At 42.5% G+C, this 14,523-nt stretch overlaps 1 long non-coding RNA gene across 1 annotated transcript in view, besides 1 other annotated feature; it reads right to left on the bottom strand.

Annotated features, from left to right (window-relative positions):
* The window catches only part of LINC02284 (long intergenic non-protein coding RNA 2284), a 116,044-nt gene that overhangs the window by 6,002 nt on the left and 95,519 nt on the right, over nt 1-14,523 (bottom strand). The window lies entirely within an intron of this gene.
* Nucleotides 6,167-7,366: an enhancer, noted in NCBI's record as "CDK7 strongly-dependent group 2 enhancer chr14:56880383-56881582 (GRCh37/hg19 assembly coordinates)". NCBI's record gives its function as "activates an origin of replication core promoter dependent on BRD2, BRD4, P300/CBP, MED14 and CDK7 cofactors, with strong dependence on CDK7, by STARR-seq in HCT116 cells {active_cell/tissue: HCT116}" and the evidence as "EXISTENCE:reporter gene assay evidence [ECO:0000049][PMID:35650434]".

The raw sequence follows: 14,523 nt of genomic DNA, 5'->3' as shown, positions 1-14,523 counted from the left end.
TATCCAGTTTCTGAGATACATTAGAAATTCAGCCTTCAGAAGTAGTTAGTACATTACTTAAACTAATATCCCCAAGAACTTAAATTCAGTATTATACTGGCAGAAACTGGAGACATGAAACTTAATTCTTATGGCTTTCACAAGAGGAAAAGAAAGACAGCTTTTACTTGAATTGTTCACGTTAAGCTATTATTTTCCAAGGTGCATTTCAATGGCATTTTTTTGGACCAGGTGTGCATTTCATGTAAAGTGATCTCTGACTTTAAAAGGTTCTGGAGTGGGAAATATATATAAGAATCATTGGCCTCACAGCATAGCATAATAACCCAGCCTGGTGTCTAACTGCACAATACAATCCTAGGTAAGATTGCTGGGAGCATATTTTCAAGCTCTATCCCTACTGGAAGTTATTTGTATGTCAATTGTGGATCAGCTGCAAGTAACCCAAGGCCCTCAGTAGTGCACTGTTAAGGAAATGAAAACAGGCTGGAATTGGTAGGGATCAGGACCAGACAGAAGATCCAGCTATAGCATTGCTTCTGAGGAAGATGACCAGTCCCCCAAAAGTAATGGGTTGGGAATATGGGAAGTGTGGGTTCACTCCAGTATGGCACTATTATTTTTCAGGTAGATTCAAGTAGTAAGTATTCAAGTCTAACTGATGGTATCTCTGAATGAAGGAAGTACCCCTTAGCACCTGGGTAGTAGCTGCACCTTCCAAGAAGGAATGTAATCCACATCCATTGTGTGGATTGAAGCAGAACAGCTTAAAGCTAGGATAGGAGGAAATGGGGGTAAAAACGTATGTAGCTCTACAGGGAGAAAGAGTTAAGCAGACTGTCATGGTGTTGAACTAGGGGGCAGCTCCAGGCCAAGGAGGAAAGAGGAGTTGATGAGGCAGGGCAAAATCTCTCTGCTATATGGATTACACACTAAGAGAGTTACTCAAGAGACCAGCAGTTCCTTAAGCAGCAACCAAGCTTCAGACAGCTTAATTCTATATCTCATGCATGATGGGTAAGGAATCCTGGATAAACTTCTCAGACAGCTTAATTCTATGTCTCATGCATGATAGGTAAGGAACCCTGGATAAACTTCTCAGCTTTGTTCTGATCAGCTTGGGGACTGGCTGTGGCTGGTCCTTCCAGTTGAAAATCATCAGTCCTTGCAGACAGGCAGAGCCAAGGGCAGCGTGGGAGTGGCATTTCCAACAGTGTTGGCTTCATCCAAGTGGATCATGATATTTTTCAGTAAGAAGCTGTGAGAATTTGAATTTTGCATTCCTTCTCCAATCTTAAAGCTGCTCTGTTCCCGTCTCATGGACATTTAACTTTGCAATTCAATTAAGTGAGGCTGAAATTTAAAATGGAAAAGTTAAAAGAAGTCTCCACAACATTTAATCCGCAGGCCTGGCCCTGCATTTGCTTAGCCCAAAAGAGTAAGGCAGAGCATGAGAGATGAACCTGAGGGCTTGGGAGCAAGGAAGGTAGGAAGCAAAGCAAACTCTGAACTGAATCAGAGCGCATGTAAGGCACAAAGTTAAGAAAGGTCCAGAAGAGCCGATGAACCGTCACTGTTCAGGGATCTCTGAAGACTCCCAAAGAAAACCCAGCAGTGCAGAGGAGGCTAGTGGAAACTCAGACTTGAGGCCATTAAAGTTCCAGCTCTTCTGAGACATTAAGCAGCCACCTTCCCCAATAACAGCACACCCTTTTGCAGGCAGGGAGGCAGGGGAGCAGGTTGCATGAAGCAGTCAACTTCTGGTGTCATTAGGGTGGAGAGAAGTTTTGGTTCACTTGAAAGGATTTAGGTTTCAGACCTGATACATTCCCAAACACAAGGAGGGCAAATTGCACACTTTAATTTACAAAGGCAAAATGCACTGGAGTAGAAGTCTGCAGGAGGATTTCCTCATGGATCCCACTCCATGGGGGCTTGCAGGAGGATGGTGGAAGAACATTTGCAAAGAGCTTGGACTTCACAGCGATGCAGCTGATTAGCAATCTTCTTGTTAACTTCCGACTGATCTGTTTCATAGATTATCTTTTCTATCCCTTCCCACCACTCCTTAATACAGTCCTGATATGCCAGTGGTGGGAGGTGGGGTCAGAAGAAAGAGGGAGGTAGGTGTAGAACTGGACGATCTCATTGTCAGAGTGTGAGTGGCCCTGGTGACCCACCAGGACAAAGGACCGACCTTGGACTTTGAGGACAGAGAAGGCCTATGGCCCATGTAAGACCTGGCCACTGAATTATTAAGGGACAGGTCAAAAAATAGCTTCTTCCCTTTTTTAGTTTCCCTTTTGGCTGAGCTTGCATTACCCCACCTGTCAGATTAAAAGTGGTATGGAGCTTTGTAAATACAAATACCAGTTATGAAGACACCTGCAGCGATGATCTCAGGTGGTGTCTCCAGGAAACAGAATGTGAGATGGAGATTGCATGCAGGTAGCTTATCGGGGAGTGCCATCCACGGGGGAGTGAAGGAGGCCAGATTGGGCAGTGGGAGAAACTCAGCAGTGATGTAGTCACAAGCAAAAGTCTCAGCTTATTCCACTGGGAGCTCTGAGGCTGGGCTGGCTTTGCAGAGTTGTCCTGAATTGGAGTGAGGAGGACAGGTCTTAACACTCCTGCGTGGTCACTCATTGAATGTGGGCTGCCCAGGAGAGAAGAATGTGACCTTGGTCCGGGTGGCTTTCTTCAGGCCTGTCCTGGAAAGGCACTTGGATGAGGAGAGTCAGCCTCCAACACAGGGAGAGTGAAGCCTCAGGTTTGCGGGCTACAATCTGGGTGGTGTGCCACTGTGTCCTCTGCAGCCCTCCCCTGCACTGCTCCCATTTTCTGGCTTCATACACTACATTCCAGCAGCAGTTCCCCCAAGATACTGAGGGATCTTTTTTCCTGGAAGACACTTTTTTGTTTTTCAGACGGAGTCTTGCTCTGTTGCCCAGGCTGGAGTGCAGTGGCCTGATCTCGGCTCACTGCAAGCTCTGCCTCCTGGGTTCATGCCATTCTCCTGCCTCAGCCTCCCAAGTAGCTGGGACTACAGGCAACCGCCACCACACCCAGCTAATTTTTTGTATTTTTAGTAGAGACGGGGTTTCACCGTGTTAGCCAGGATGGTCTCGATCTCCTGACCTCGTGATCTGCCCACCTTGGCCTCCCAAAGTGCTGGGATTACAGGCGTGAGCCACCGCACCTGGCTGGAAGACACTTTTAAGACAAAAGTTAGTGGTATAAACTACAACTCTTGCCACAGCAGCTGATCTTGGGGTATAACTGGTTCTCACCATTCTCCTCTTTACTATCCATTCTAGATCCCCATCATCTTCTCTAGCTAGTGCCGTAATGGTTTAGATGGTTTACCTGGGGAGTGGTCCATACTCTCATCCCCGAGTAGCTTAGGTGCCTGGTCACTATGTACTTCTCAAGCCATGGATGCTGCTCTTGTTCATTTCTCATCAAAGTGGGGCAAGAGAGTCAGGAGGCATCCAAGCAGATCACCTGGTGCCACTCACTTTTTCCAGCTCTCCTTCCTTCTGATGATCAGGGTCAGTTATTCCAGCTAGAATGGTGACTCCTCTCTTTGCCTGGCATAAGAAGCTTGCCACAACCAGGTGGAAGCCATAGTCTGAGGTTTAGTGGGCTACTTGCTATGTCCTGTGGTGGATGCATTTCCATTCTGGGAACCAGGACCTCTGAACCACAAAAGCCAGAGTTGTGAAGCCAAAAACCACAAATTCTCCAAGTCAGTCACTGGGAGTGACAGAAAGCAGGGTCACTCCTACTTCCACCTCTCGGTCCCCAGAACCCTTCAATCTATCTAATGGTTTGCATGCAGGTAGTTTACTAGGGAGTGCTCTCAGTATCACACTTGTGGGGGTATGAAGGACTCAGAACTGGGCAGTTGCAGAAGGACCATGATACAGCCCAAAAAGCTTCAGTGAGTCCCACAGGGAACTTTGGGGCTGGGTGACCCTGCAGAGCTCTCCTGAATTGGGATGAGCAGGCCAGACCTTTACACTTCTGCATTGCCATTTAATGGTTGTTGATTTAGAGTATACCCAGCATCCTGGAGGGTGACACCCCATCTGCATTGGGCATCCTCTCTCTCTGTGGCCCCTCTTCCTCTGATTTCCTTATCCTCAATCTTCTCATCTTTCTCCTTCCAGGCCCCCGACCAACCAGCCAAGTATTTATCATTGTCTATAAAGATTCCAACCTCAGGCCAGGCGCGGTGGCTCACGCCTGTAATCCCAGCAATTTGGGAGGCCGAGGTGGGCAGATCACAAGGTCAGGAGCTCGAGACCAGTCTGGCCAACATAGTGAAACCCTGTCTCTACTAAAAATACACAAAAAATTAGCCAGATGTGGTGGTGTGTGCCTGTAGTCCCAGGTACTCAGGAGGCTGAGGCAGGAGAATCGCGTGAACCTGGGAGGCGGAGGTTGCAGTGAGCCAAGAACGCGCCACCGCACTCCAGCCTGGGTGACACAACGAGACTCCATCTCAAAAAAAAAAAAAAAAGATTCCAACCTCAGATGACTATTCTTTTCACCCAAAATAGATAGACAGGTGAATCACCCAAAGCTGTGCCCATTGTGAGGCTTTCCAGCTTACACCTACATGCTGAGCTGAGCCACCCATGTACCAAATTTGACCTTTACTCTCCATTGTCAGGTGGTCATAACAGAATCCCCCATGTGGCTGAGGGAGAAGCACCAGTTTCTCAGTGGATGCCACAGGGATCTGGGCCACCTGCTCGTGCAGCCTACTTACGCCCTGTGGCCCTTTTTGTGCCAATTCTCAGATACACCACTTCCACCTTACTTTAAGACAAAGGGTTTGAGAGTTAACATAGTCCTGGGAAAAGATCACACTTGTATTCTTTTGTCTGTCCAAAGTGATCACGAACTATTTCTGATCTTCCTTTCTCACTAGAACAAAAAAACCCCACATTATCCATATTAAAAGCCACATACTGTGTCTCAAGACCAAGTTGATCATCGTAGCAAATCGTGGCTACTATTTGGTTGAGTTTACAGTAATCCACTGTTTCACTCTTCAAGATCTGTCTGCCTTTTGTAGGGGGGCAGACTGGCTCATTAGTTGGGACATGATGGGGACCACTCTCCTCCTCCCCCCGCATCCTTTTAGGTCTTTAAAAATTGCACTAGTCTTTGACATTCATTGCCCCTTGGTTGTTGTGATGGTTAATTTTGGGTGTTGATTGGATTAAAGGATATCCAGATAGCTGGTAAAGCATTATTTCTGGGTATGCTTGTAAGGATGTTTCTGGAAGAGGTTGGCATTTGAATCGGTGAACTAAGGAAGATCCACCCTCACCCAATGGGGGTGACACCATCCAATTGGCTGAGGACCCAGATAGGACAAAAAGGCAGAGGAAAGGTGAATTATTTCTCCCTCTTCTGGAGCTGGGACATCCTCCTTCTCCTGCCGTTGGATATCAGAATCCCTGGTTCTCTGGCCTTTGTACTCCAGAACTTCCACCAGTAGCCCTCAGGTTCACAGGCCTTTGGTCTCTAACAGAGTTACACCATCGGCTTCCCCGGTTCTGAGGCCTCCAGACTTGAATGGAGCCACGATGCTGGCTTCCCTGGTTTTCCAGCTTACAGAAGGCACATCATGGACATCTCAGCCTCCATAATCATGTGAGCCAATTCCCCTGATAAATTGCCTCTCACATATCTATATGTACATACTATTGGTTCTCTCTCTGAAGAACTCTAATACAGTTGTGAAGTTGTTTTCTATTTACTATCTTGGCCAATGAGGTGAGGAGATGGTTTTCATTCAGCCTTCCTTGCATTAATAGCTCTTACCCCACAGCTAAGGAGCTAACATGGGTGTTTTGTCAATCACTGATTACATCTGTTCCAATTATACATTCCAGGGCTGAGAAAGAGACTTCCTGGTGGATCTGTGCACCAGTAGACACCCTAAGAGATGGACCTGACCAGCTCCTCACTTACTATCTGGACTCCATGTGTCTACACTTTAACAGGCGGTCTAGATGACACTTCAGCTCCCCAGGTGTCAATATCAGCTTAGACTCTGTGTCCAACTGTCTCTGAAATATTTGGGTATTCCCTTTTTCCCAGTGTATGAGTACACAAGTTCTAGAGGAAGCATATTCCAAGGACTTTCTGGCCTTAAATAGCATATCCACTCCAACATGCCTGCTTCTCTGAGTCCTTTGGTCCTGTCTCTGGCATTTTCCATGGTAGTTCTGACACTTCCACTTCATATAGTATGAGCCATCTATTTCTCCAAGTTCCAAGATACATCATAGCAGCATTTAGATTGTTTTCTTGGGGTCCTTGTCAGGGTGTTATATTCTGTATCATGGGAGAGGATTCTCATATCCCTAAACTCTCCCTTGTCCAACTTTATTTTCTGTCTAGGATCCAGAACTCGCAGAATCCAGTCCTACGGGTAGTATCCTGGCTTTTGCCAGTATGTGTTATTTAGGTCCTGCAGCCCCTTTCCAGTGCAGCCTTTTTCTTTTCCAGCAGACCCACTGCTTCCCCAAACAAGTCAAGGTATGACTCAACCCTATTCACATGCCTGTTGATCAAGAGGGAAGCTGTGAGCGGATTTGGGGGAGGAGGAGCATGTTGCCTTGTAAAACAGAGACCTCTGTGACATCTTCAGGCAAGGGAGGAGCATTAGCCTTTAACAAAGAGCAGTGGGACCCAACTGTGGTCCCAGAGGGTTCAGAAGAATCTGGAAATTCCCACTTTTCTAGTACACCAACCCAGATATACCTATCCCAGGCCCAGGTCCCACTCCAGGCCTTAGCACAGCAGACCTGTCAGGGCTAAGAACGCAACCTTCTCTGGAGCTCTGCTACTTTCTTGATTAAGCCCTTGGCCGTCCTTCAGTTTATCAGCTCTCCAACTGCAGGAGATGAGTCTCTGTATATGCTGCAAAGGAAGACTTCTGGTGATTTATCACTCTTTGTACCAACTGTTGCAGGTTTGGATCCCTGAGAAAATCTGAGACAGTTTTGCCCACAAAAAGCTTATTAGGAAGTGGAACTGCTCTGGGGACCATCTCTTTTAGGACAGTGAAGGAAGCAGAACTGGGCCAAGGGAGAAGATGAACCACGATGCTACCACAACAGAGGCCTCACTGATCCCATGGCGAGCTCTGGAGCCAGGATGGCCCTGCAGCGTGGTCTCAAGTTGAGATGAGTGGGGCAGGCACCCAGTAAGGGTTGCCCCTTGGAAGGAAGTGTAACCTTGGTCAAGGTGACTGGCTCTCTTTAACCCAGAACAAGTCCCAAACAAGGACTTAGTTAAGAGTTGTCAGCCTTGGGGAGATGGAATGAGTGCTTGAGGCTGCTGGGAGGATCTAGACAGAGAATCATGACATCGTCTACAACGACCTACCTAACACATATGGAGTTTTACAAACCTTAACTGCATAACAAGTCATCGTTTTCAGATTCTCAGGTAAAATTTAGGTGAAATACATCTTTGTAAGTCTCAATTACCCAGCATCTTAAGTTTTCTAGGGGTCTCAGGTTTCAAAACAAACCAAGGTCTTTTTTTTTCCTTTTTAACATAGACAACAAAAGGGGTCCATGTGGCATTTGGAGTAGACAATCCCAGTGATGGTCCTGCAAATGGTCCCAGAATTTCAACCCTCCTGTCTACCCTTCCTTTGCTACTTGGAGCTGAAAGCCACAGCCAAACTCTAAGCAACTCAACATGCTAATAGCCCTATGGTATACATACATGTGTTCTCTGAGCCATACTTTCATGGTCCTGAGCCACTCATAGCCACCCACTATCTGCATTGGGTCTGTAGACAACACACTGATTCCCTCTGGTGCAAAGAAGGAGCATAATAAGCAAGGCCCATTCCTTAGCAAAGAAAAGCAGTTGAATTCGGTGCAATGAAGACAAATTGGCCATAAACTCTGCAAGCCACGGAGGTTATTTCAGTTACTAAATGATTAAAGTCTCTAATCTCTGGAGTGGTGATAAAGAACACCGGAGAAGGGGGCTGGGTTTTTGATGCCTGGGGAAGGTGCAAAAACATCTCTCTTGAGACCATGCCAGAGGAAGCCCACCCCATAAAAGAACCACAGATAAGTAAGACATCATTAATAAATCAATGACAGGAAAATGAAAACGGAAGCAGATGAATCAGCCAGCAGATCGGGTTGTAGATGAAAAACAGCACATCTGTTGCTGCTGTCGGTGCATTAACAAATAAGTCTGCTGGATCAGATGGTCTTTCACGCTAATACTTGGAATAATGAAGCTTCAAAAGCGATTAAACCATAAATCAATTTTTAAATGTATCTTGTAACTCCCCCAAACAACAGGAGGCATATTTTTCCTTGCTTGAATTCTTTTTGGCAGGCATCGGAAGGTGCAGGGATAAAAAAACAGTGCCTCATTTTGGCTCTGCTGTGAGGTACAGGCACACAGCTAATTTAGTGTTTAGCCTCACGATTTGATTCTTACCAGCTAAAGGCACCGAGCTGTGCTTCATCTATATGTTAAATCCAAGCCAATGCATTTCAGCCTGAGCAGTACCCACCCGTCTTCTTGTCCAAGACAGCTCGGTTCTAGTGCCTGTTCCTCTTCATGCAGCTATTGATTTACATTTTATTTTGTTATTTTTGAAGACTTCAGCAAAATTAGCAATTGAGGTGGTGAAGTATTTTTCTCCTTTGAAGCATAACTCCTCCTTTTCTTCTATACTGAAAAAAAAGTTGCTTCTCTCTAATGGCAGAGTGGCCTGGTTGTAGGACATTAAGGATGGACATGAGTGGTTAATTTGGCAAATTCTACATCCATGTCCAAGAGGAAGAGATGTGCTCTCAACATAATTTTTTTACTTAAAAATGTTGGGACAATAAGGAAAGAGAAAAGGGAAAGGTTCAGGCTAAGAGAGGCAGACAAGGCCAGAAAGGACATAGGGTCACAGATCAGAAAAGGAAATCAAGTTTTGCTCCAAAATTTCTCTGAAAAGCAGAAAATCCTGTGAACTGACCAATAAATGAGTTCTTACTGAATAAGACAAATGGGGAAGAAATAGGAAGAAAGAAGGAAAAAGAAAGATGTGTAAGAAGATGAGTAGAAATGGTGAGAGGAGAACCCAGGATGAGGCAGAGGGAAACCAGGCCATATTTCCTCTCAGCGCACGGCCTTTGCTCCACATTACACCTCCTAACCAGCCCGGGGACAGTTGCACTCCAAGGAAGCAAACTGTTCCGTTCTTCTTCTTCTTCTCCTTGAAACACAATGGCTCTTTCAGGAAACAAACAAATAAACAAAAGCTAGGAAGAAACTATTTTGTTTACTTTGTCACAGAAAACAGGCTACCCTTGGGTCAGGAGATAGGGTATTCTGAGTTCATTTAGAATAGCCAGCAACACCCATGTTTGGTGAGAAGATGCCAAAAAATTATACCAAGTGGAAACTTTTATGTTAATTAATGAGTGACAATCAAATAAAATGATCAAGGCTCATACAAACATTTCCAGAAATAAGCACAAAGGTAGACAGAGGCTGTTTTTTTTTTTAATCATTGTAGGATCTGACAATATAAACTTTTCATATTAGATATTACCTATATACAGTTAGAATCCAAACCAATTGGAAGATTCCTTGGTCACCTGATAACTTCAAATGAAGATATCCAGAAAATTTAGGGACAGGTGATATCCTATAAACCAAGGTTTCTCAAACTTTTATGTGCCTACAACTATCTGAGGATCTTGTGGGAATTCAGATTCTAGGGAAACATTTCTGGAATGGTAGAGTAATGACCTCCAAAAATAGACTTTTCCATAAGAAGCAATAAACATCCTGGCAAAAATAGTCAAAATCAATTTTTTTCAGAATTGTGGAAATTAGCCAAAGGTATACAACACTCTGAGGTGCATTTCTTCAAGAAAAGCAGCTGACTATTGGTAAAAACAGCAAGCTTTGTGACATTCTAGCTTGCCCTATCCCCATTCCCTTCTCCACAGTTTCATAGTAGTCTCAAAAGTGAACAGCCTTACAGCCATGGTAACTGTAAAAACAGCAGCCTAGCAGTTACTGAAGGAAGAAGAATGGGTTTGGAGCTTAAGTCTAAAGACACTCAAGATTCAAAAACAAATAAGTGAAAGGAAGGAAGAAGATCTGCTATGCAAACAGTAACCTAAAAAGAGCTGGAGTGGCTATAATATTAACAGAAAAATCGACTTTAAGACCATTGTTACTAGAGATAAAAAGAACATTTTATAATCACAGAATGACCATTCCATCAGGAAAACATAACAATTACAAACATGTATGTCCCTAATAACAGAGGCCCAAAATACATGAATGATTAATAGAATTGAGGAAGAATTAGATTCAGCAGTAATAGTTGTAAATTTCAATATCCCACTTTTAATAAGGGATAGGCTGACAAGGCAGAAGATCAACAAGGTAATGGAAGACTTGAACAACACTATAAAACAGCTAAACATAACAGAAATCTATAGCACACTCCACCAAACAACAGAACACACGTTGCATCAAGCAAACACTCAGCATTCCCCAAAATAGAACACACGTTAGGCTATAGAAAGAAGTCTCAATAATGTTAAAGAGATGAAAATCATAGAATCTTCTATGACACAATGGAATGAAATTAGAAATCAGTAATGGAAAGAAATTTCAGGAATTCACAAACGTGAAAATTAAAAGACACACTTCTAAATAACCAATGAGTTAAAGAAGGAATCACAAGGGAAAGGAAATAATACTTTGAGATGAAAAAAAGAAAACCACAACATATCAAAACTTATGGAAGGCTGCTTGCCTTAGTCCATTTTGGTTGCTATAACACAATACCACAAATTGGGCAGATTTTAAGCAACAGAAATTTATTTCCCACAGTTCTGGAGCCAAAACAATCTTGAAAAAAAAAATAGGAGGATTCATACTTCCCAATTTTGAAACCTATGACAAAGATCCAATAATTAAGACAGTATGGTACTGGCATGAAGATAGACTTATAGATCATTGAAATAGAATTGAAAGTGCACAAAGAAGCTGTTAATTAATGGCCAATTGAATTGTGACCGAAGTGTCAGAGCAATTCAATGAGGGGACGAACAATCTTTTCAACAAATGGCGCTAGAACAACTGGATAGCCACAGGCAAAAGAAAGAAGTTGGTCCCTTTCATCATGCCATATATAAAAACTAACTCAAAATAGATCAAAGACAAAAATGGAAATACTAAAACTACAAAAGTTTTTTTTAACTATTAGTTTCAGGGGTACATGTATAGATTTGTTATATAGGTAAATTGCATATCATGGGCACTTGGTGTACAGATTACTCATCACCCAGGTAATATGCATAGTATCTGATATGTATACCCTCACCCTCCTCCCACCCTTCATCCTCAAGTAGGCTCCAGTGTCTGTCATTCCCTTGTTTGTGTCCCTGTGTACTCAATATTTAGCTCCTATTTATAAGTGAGAGCATGCAGTATTTGGTTTTCTGCTCCTGCATTAGTTAGCTTAGGACAATGGCCACCAGCTTCATCCATGTTGCTGCAAAGGATATGATCTTGTTCTTTTTAATGGCTGCATAGGCTTCCATACTGTCTATGTACCACATTTTCTTTATCAAGGCTACTGCTGACAGGCCATTAGGTTGATTCTACGTCTTCACTATTGTGAATTGTGCTGTGATGAACATGGATGCGTATGTGTCTTTAGAGTAGAAAAATTTATATTCATTCCTTTGGGTATATACCCAATAATGGGGTTGCTGGAATGAATGATAGTTTTAAGTTTGAGAAATCACCGAACTGCTTTCCACAACGGCTGAACTAATTTACATTCCCACCAGCAGTGTAGAAGTCTTCCCTTTTTTTTTTGCAACCTTGACAGCATCTGTTGACTTTTTAATAATAGCTATCCTGATGGGTGTGAGACGGTAGGTATCTCATCGTGGTTTTGATTTGCATTCCTTTCATGATTAGTGATGTTGAGCATATTTTAATATGCTTGTTGCTTTTGTGTATGTCTTTTGAAAAGTGTCTGTTCATGTCCTTTGCTCACTTTTTAAAGGGATTGTTTTTGGCTTGTTTAAATTCCTTATAGATTCTGGATATTTGACGTTTGTCAGGAGCACAGTTTGCACATATTTTCTTCCATTCTGTAGGCTGCCTTTTTGCTCTGTTAATAGTTTCTCTTGCTTTGCAGAAACCCTTTAGTTTAGTCCCATTTGTCAATTTTTGTTTTTGTTGCAATTGCTTTTGGCATCTTTGTCATGCAATCTTTGACAGGGCCCTTTACAGAATAGTATTTCCTAGGTTGCCTTTCAAGGTTTTTAAAGTTTTAGGTTTTACATTTAAATTATTAATCCATCTGAAGCTGATTTTTGTATATGATGTAAGGAAGGGGTCCATTTTCAATCTTCTGCATATGGCTAGCCACTTGTTGAATAGGGAGTTCTTTCCCCATTGTTATTGACTTTGTTGATGATCAGATGGTTGTAGGTGTGTGGCATTCTTTCTCGGCTATTACGTTACATTGGTTTGTGTCTATTTATGTACCAGCAGCAAGCTGTTTTGGCTACTGTAGCCTTGTAGTATAGTCTGAAGTCAGGTAGTGTGACACCTCTTTGTTCTTTTTGCTTAGGATTGCTGTGGCTGTTCGTGCTCTGTTTTGCTTTCATGTAAGTTTTGAAATAGTTTTCTAATTCTGTGAAGAATACCATTGGTAGATTGATAGAAATAGCATTGACTCTAAATTGGTTGGGGCAGTATGGCCATTTTAACATTATTGATTCTTCCTATCCATGAGCATGAAGTGTTTTTCCATTTGTTTGTGTCAAATCTGACGGTTTGAGCAGAGTTTTGTGATTTTTGTGGTAGAGGTCTTTCATCTCCCTGTTTGGCTGTATTCCTAGGTATTTTACTCTTTTTGTGGCTATTGTGAATTGGATCACGTTATTGGTTTGGCTCTCACCTTGGACATTGTTGGCATATAGAAATGCTACTGATTTTTGTACATTAATTTTATATCTTGAAACTTTGCTGAAGTTGTTTAATCAGATGTAGGAGCTTTTAGGCAGAGACTATGGGATTTTCTAGGTATAGAATTATATCATATGCAAACAGAGACAGTTTGACTTCCTCTCTTCCTATTTGGATGCTTTCTTTCTCTTGCCTGATTGCTCTGGCTAGGACTTCCAGTACCATGTTGAATAGGAGTGGTGAGAGTGGGTATGTTCTTGTCTTGTTCTCAAGGGGAATGCTTCCAGCTTTTGTCCATTCAGTATAATGTTGGCTGTGGGTTTTTTGTAGATGGCTTTAATTATTTTGAGGTATGCTCCTTCAGTGCCTAGTTTATTAAGGATTTTTAACATAAAGGGATGTTCAATTTTATCAAGTCTTTTCTGCATCTATTAAGATGATTATGTGGTTTTTGTTTTTAGTTCTGTTTATGTGAGGAATCACGTTTATTGATTTGCATATGTTGAACCAAACTTGCACCCCAGGGATAAAGCCTACTTGATCATGGTGGATTAGATTTTTAATGTGCTGCTGGATTCAGTTTGCCAGTATTTTGTTGAGGGTTTTGGCATCTACATTCATCAACAATATTGGCCTGAAGTTTCCTTTATTTGTTGTGACTCTGCCAGGTTTTGGTATCAGGATGATGCTAGCTTCAGAGAATGAGTTAGGGAGGAGTTACTTCTCCTCAATTTTTTGGAAAAGTTTCAGTAGGAATGGTACCAGTTATTCTTTATTTGGTAAAATTTGGCCATGAATCCATCTGGTCCTGGGCTTTTTCTGGTTGGTGGGCTTTTTATTACTAATTTGACTCCAGAACTCCTTATTGGTTTGTTCAGAGATTCAGTTTCTTTCCAGTTTAATCTTGGGAGGTTCTTTGTTTCCAAGAATTTATCCATTTCTTCTAGGTTTTCTAGCTTGTGTGCACAGAGGTATTCATAGTTGTCTGAAGATTTTTTGTATTTCTGTAGGGTCACTGGTAATGTCCCCTTTGTAATTTCTGATTGTGTTTATTTACATCTTCTCTTTTTTCTTTATTAGTCTAGCCAGAAGTCTCTAAATCTTATTTATTCTTTCAGAAAACTAACTCTTGGATTTGTCAATCTTTTATGTCTCAATTTCCTTCAATTCAGCTCTAATTTTGATTATTTCTTGTCTTCTGCTAGCTTTGGGGTTGGTTTGCTCTTGTTTTCCTAGTTTCTCTTGGTGTGATGTTAGGTTGCTAATTTGAGATTTTTTTTTTTTTTTTTTTTTTTTTTTTGGAGACAGGGTCTTACTCTGTCATCCAGGCTGGAGTGCAGTGGTATGATCTCAGCTCACTGCAACTTCTGCTTCCTGGAATCAAGTAATCCTCCCACCTAAACCTCCCAAGTAGCTGGGAATACAGGATGAGCCACTGTGCCCAGCTAATATTTTGTAGAGATGGGGTTTCACTATGTTGCCCAGGCTGGTCTTGAACTCCTGGGCTCAAAGCAA

The sequence above is a fragment of the Homo sapiens genome, chromosome 14 (assembly GCF_000001405.40).
Source record: "Homo sapiens chromosome 14, GRCh38.p14 Primary Assembly".
Taxonomy (NCBI): Eukaryota; Metazoa; Chordata; class Mammalia; order Primates; family Hominidae; genus Homo; species Homo sapiens.
Note: the sequence above shows the minus strand (reverse complement) of the source record. Positions and strands in the feature narration are given on the sequence as shown.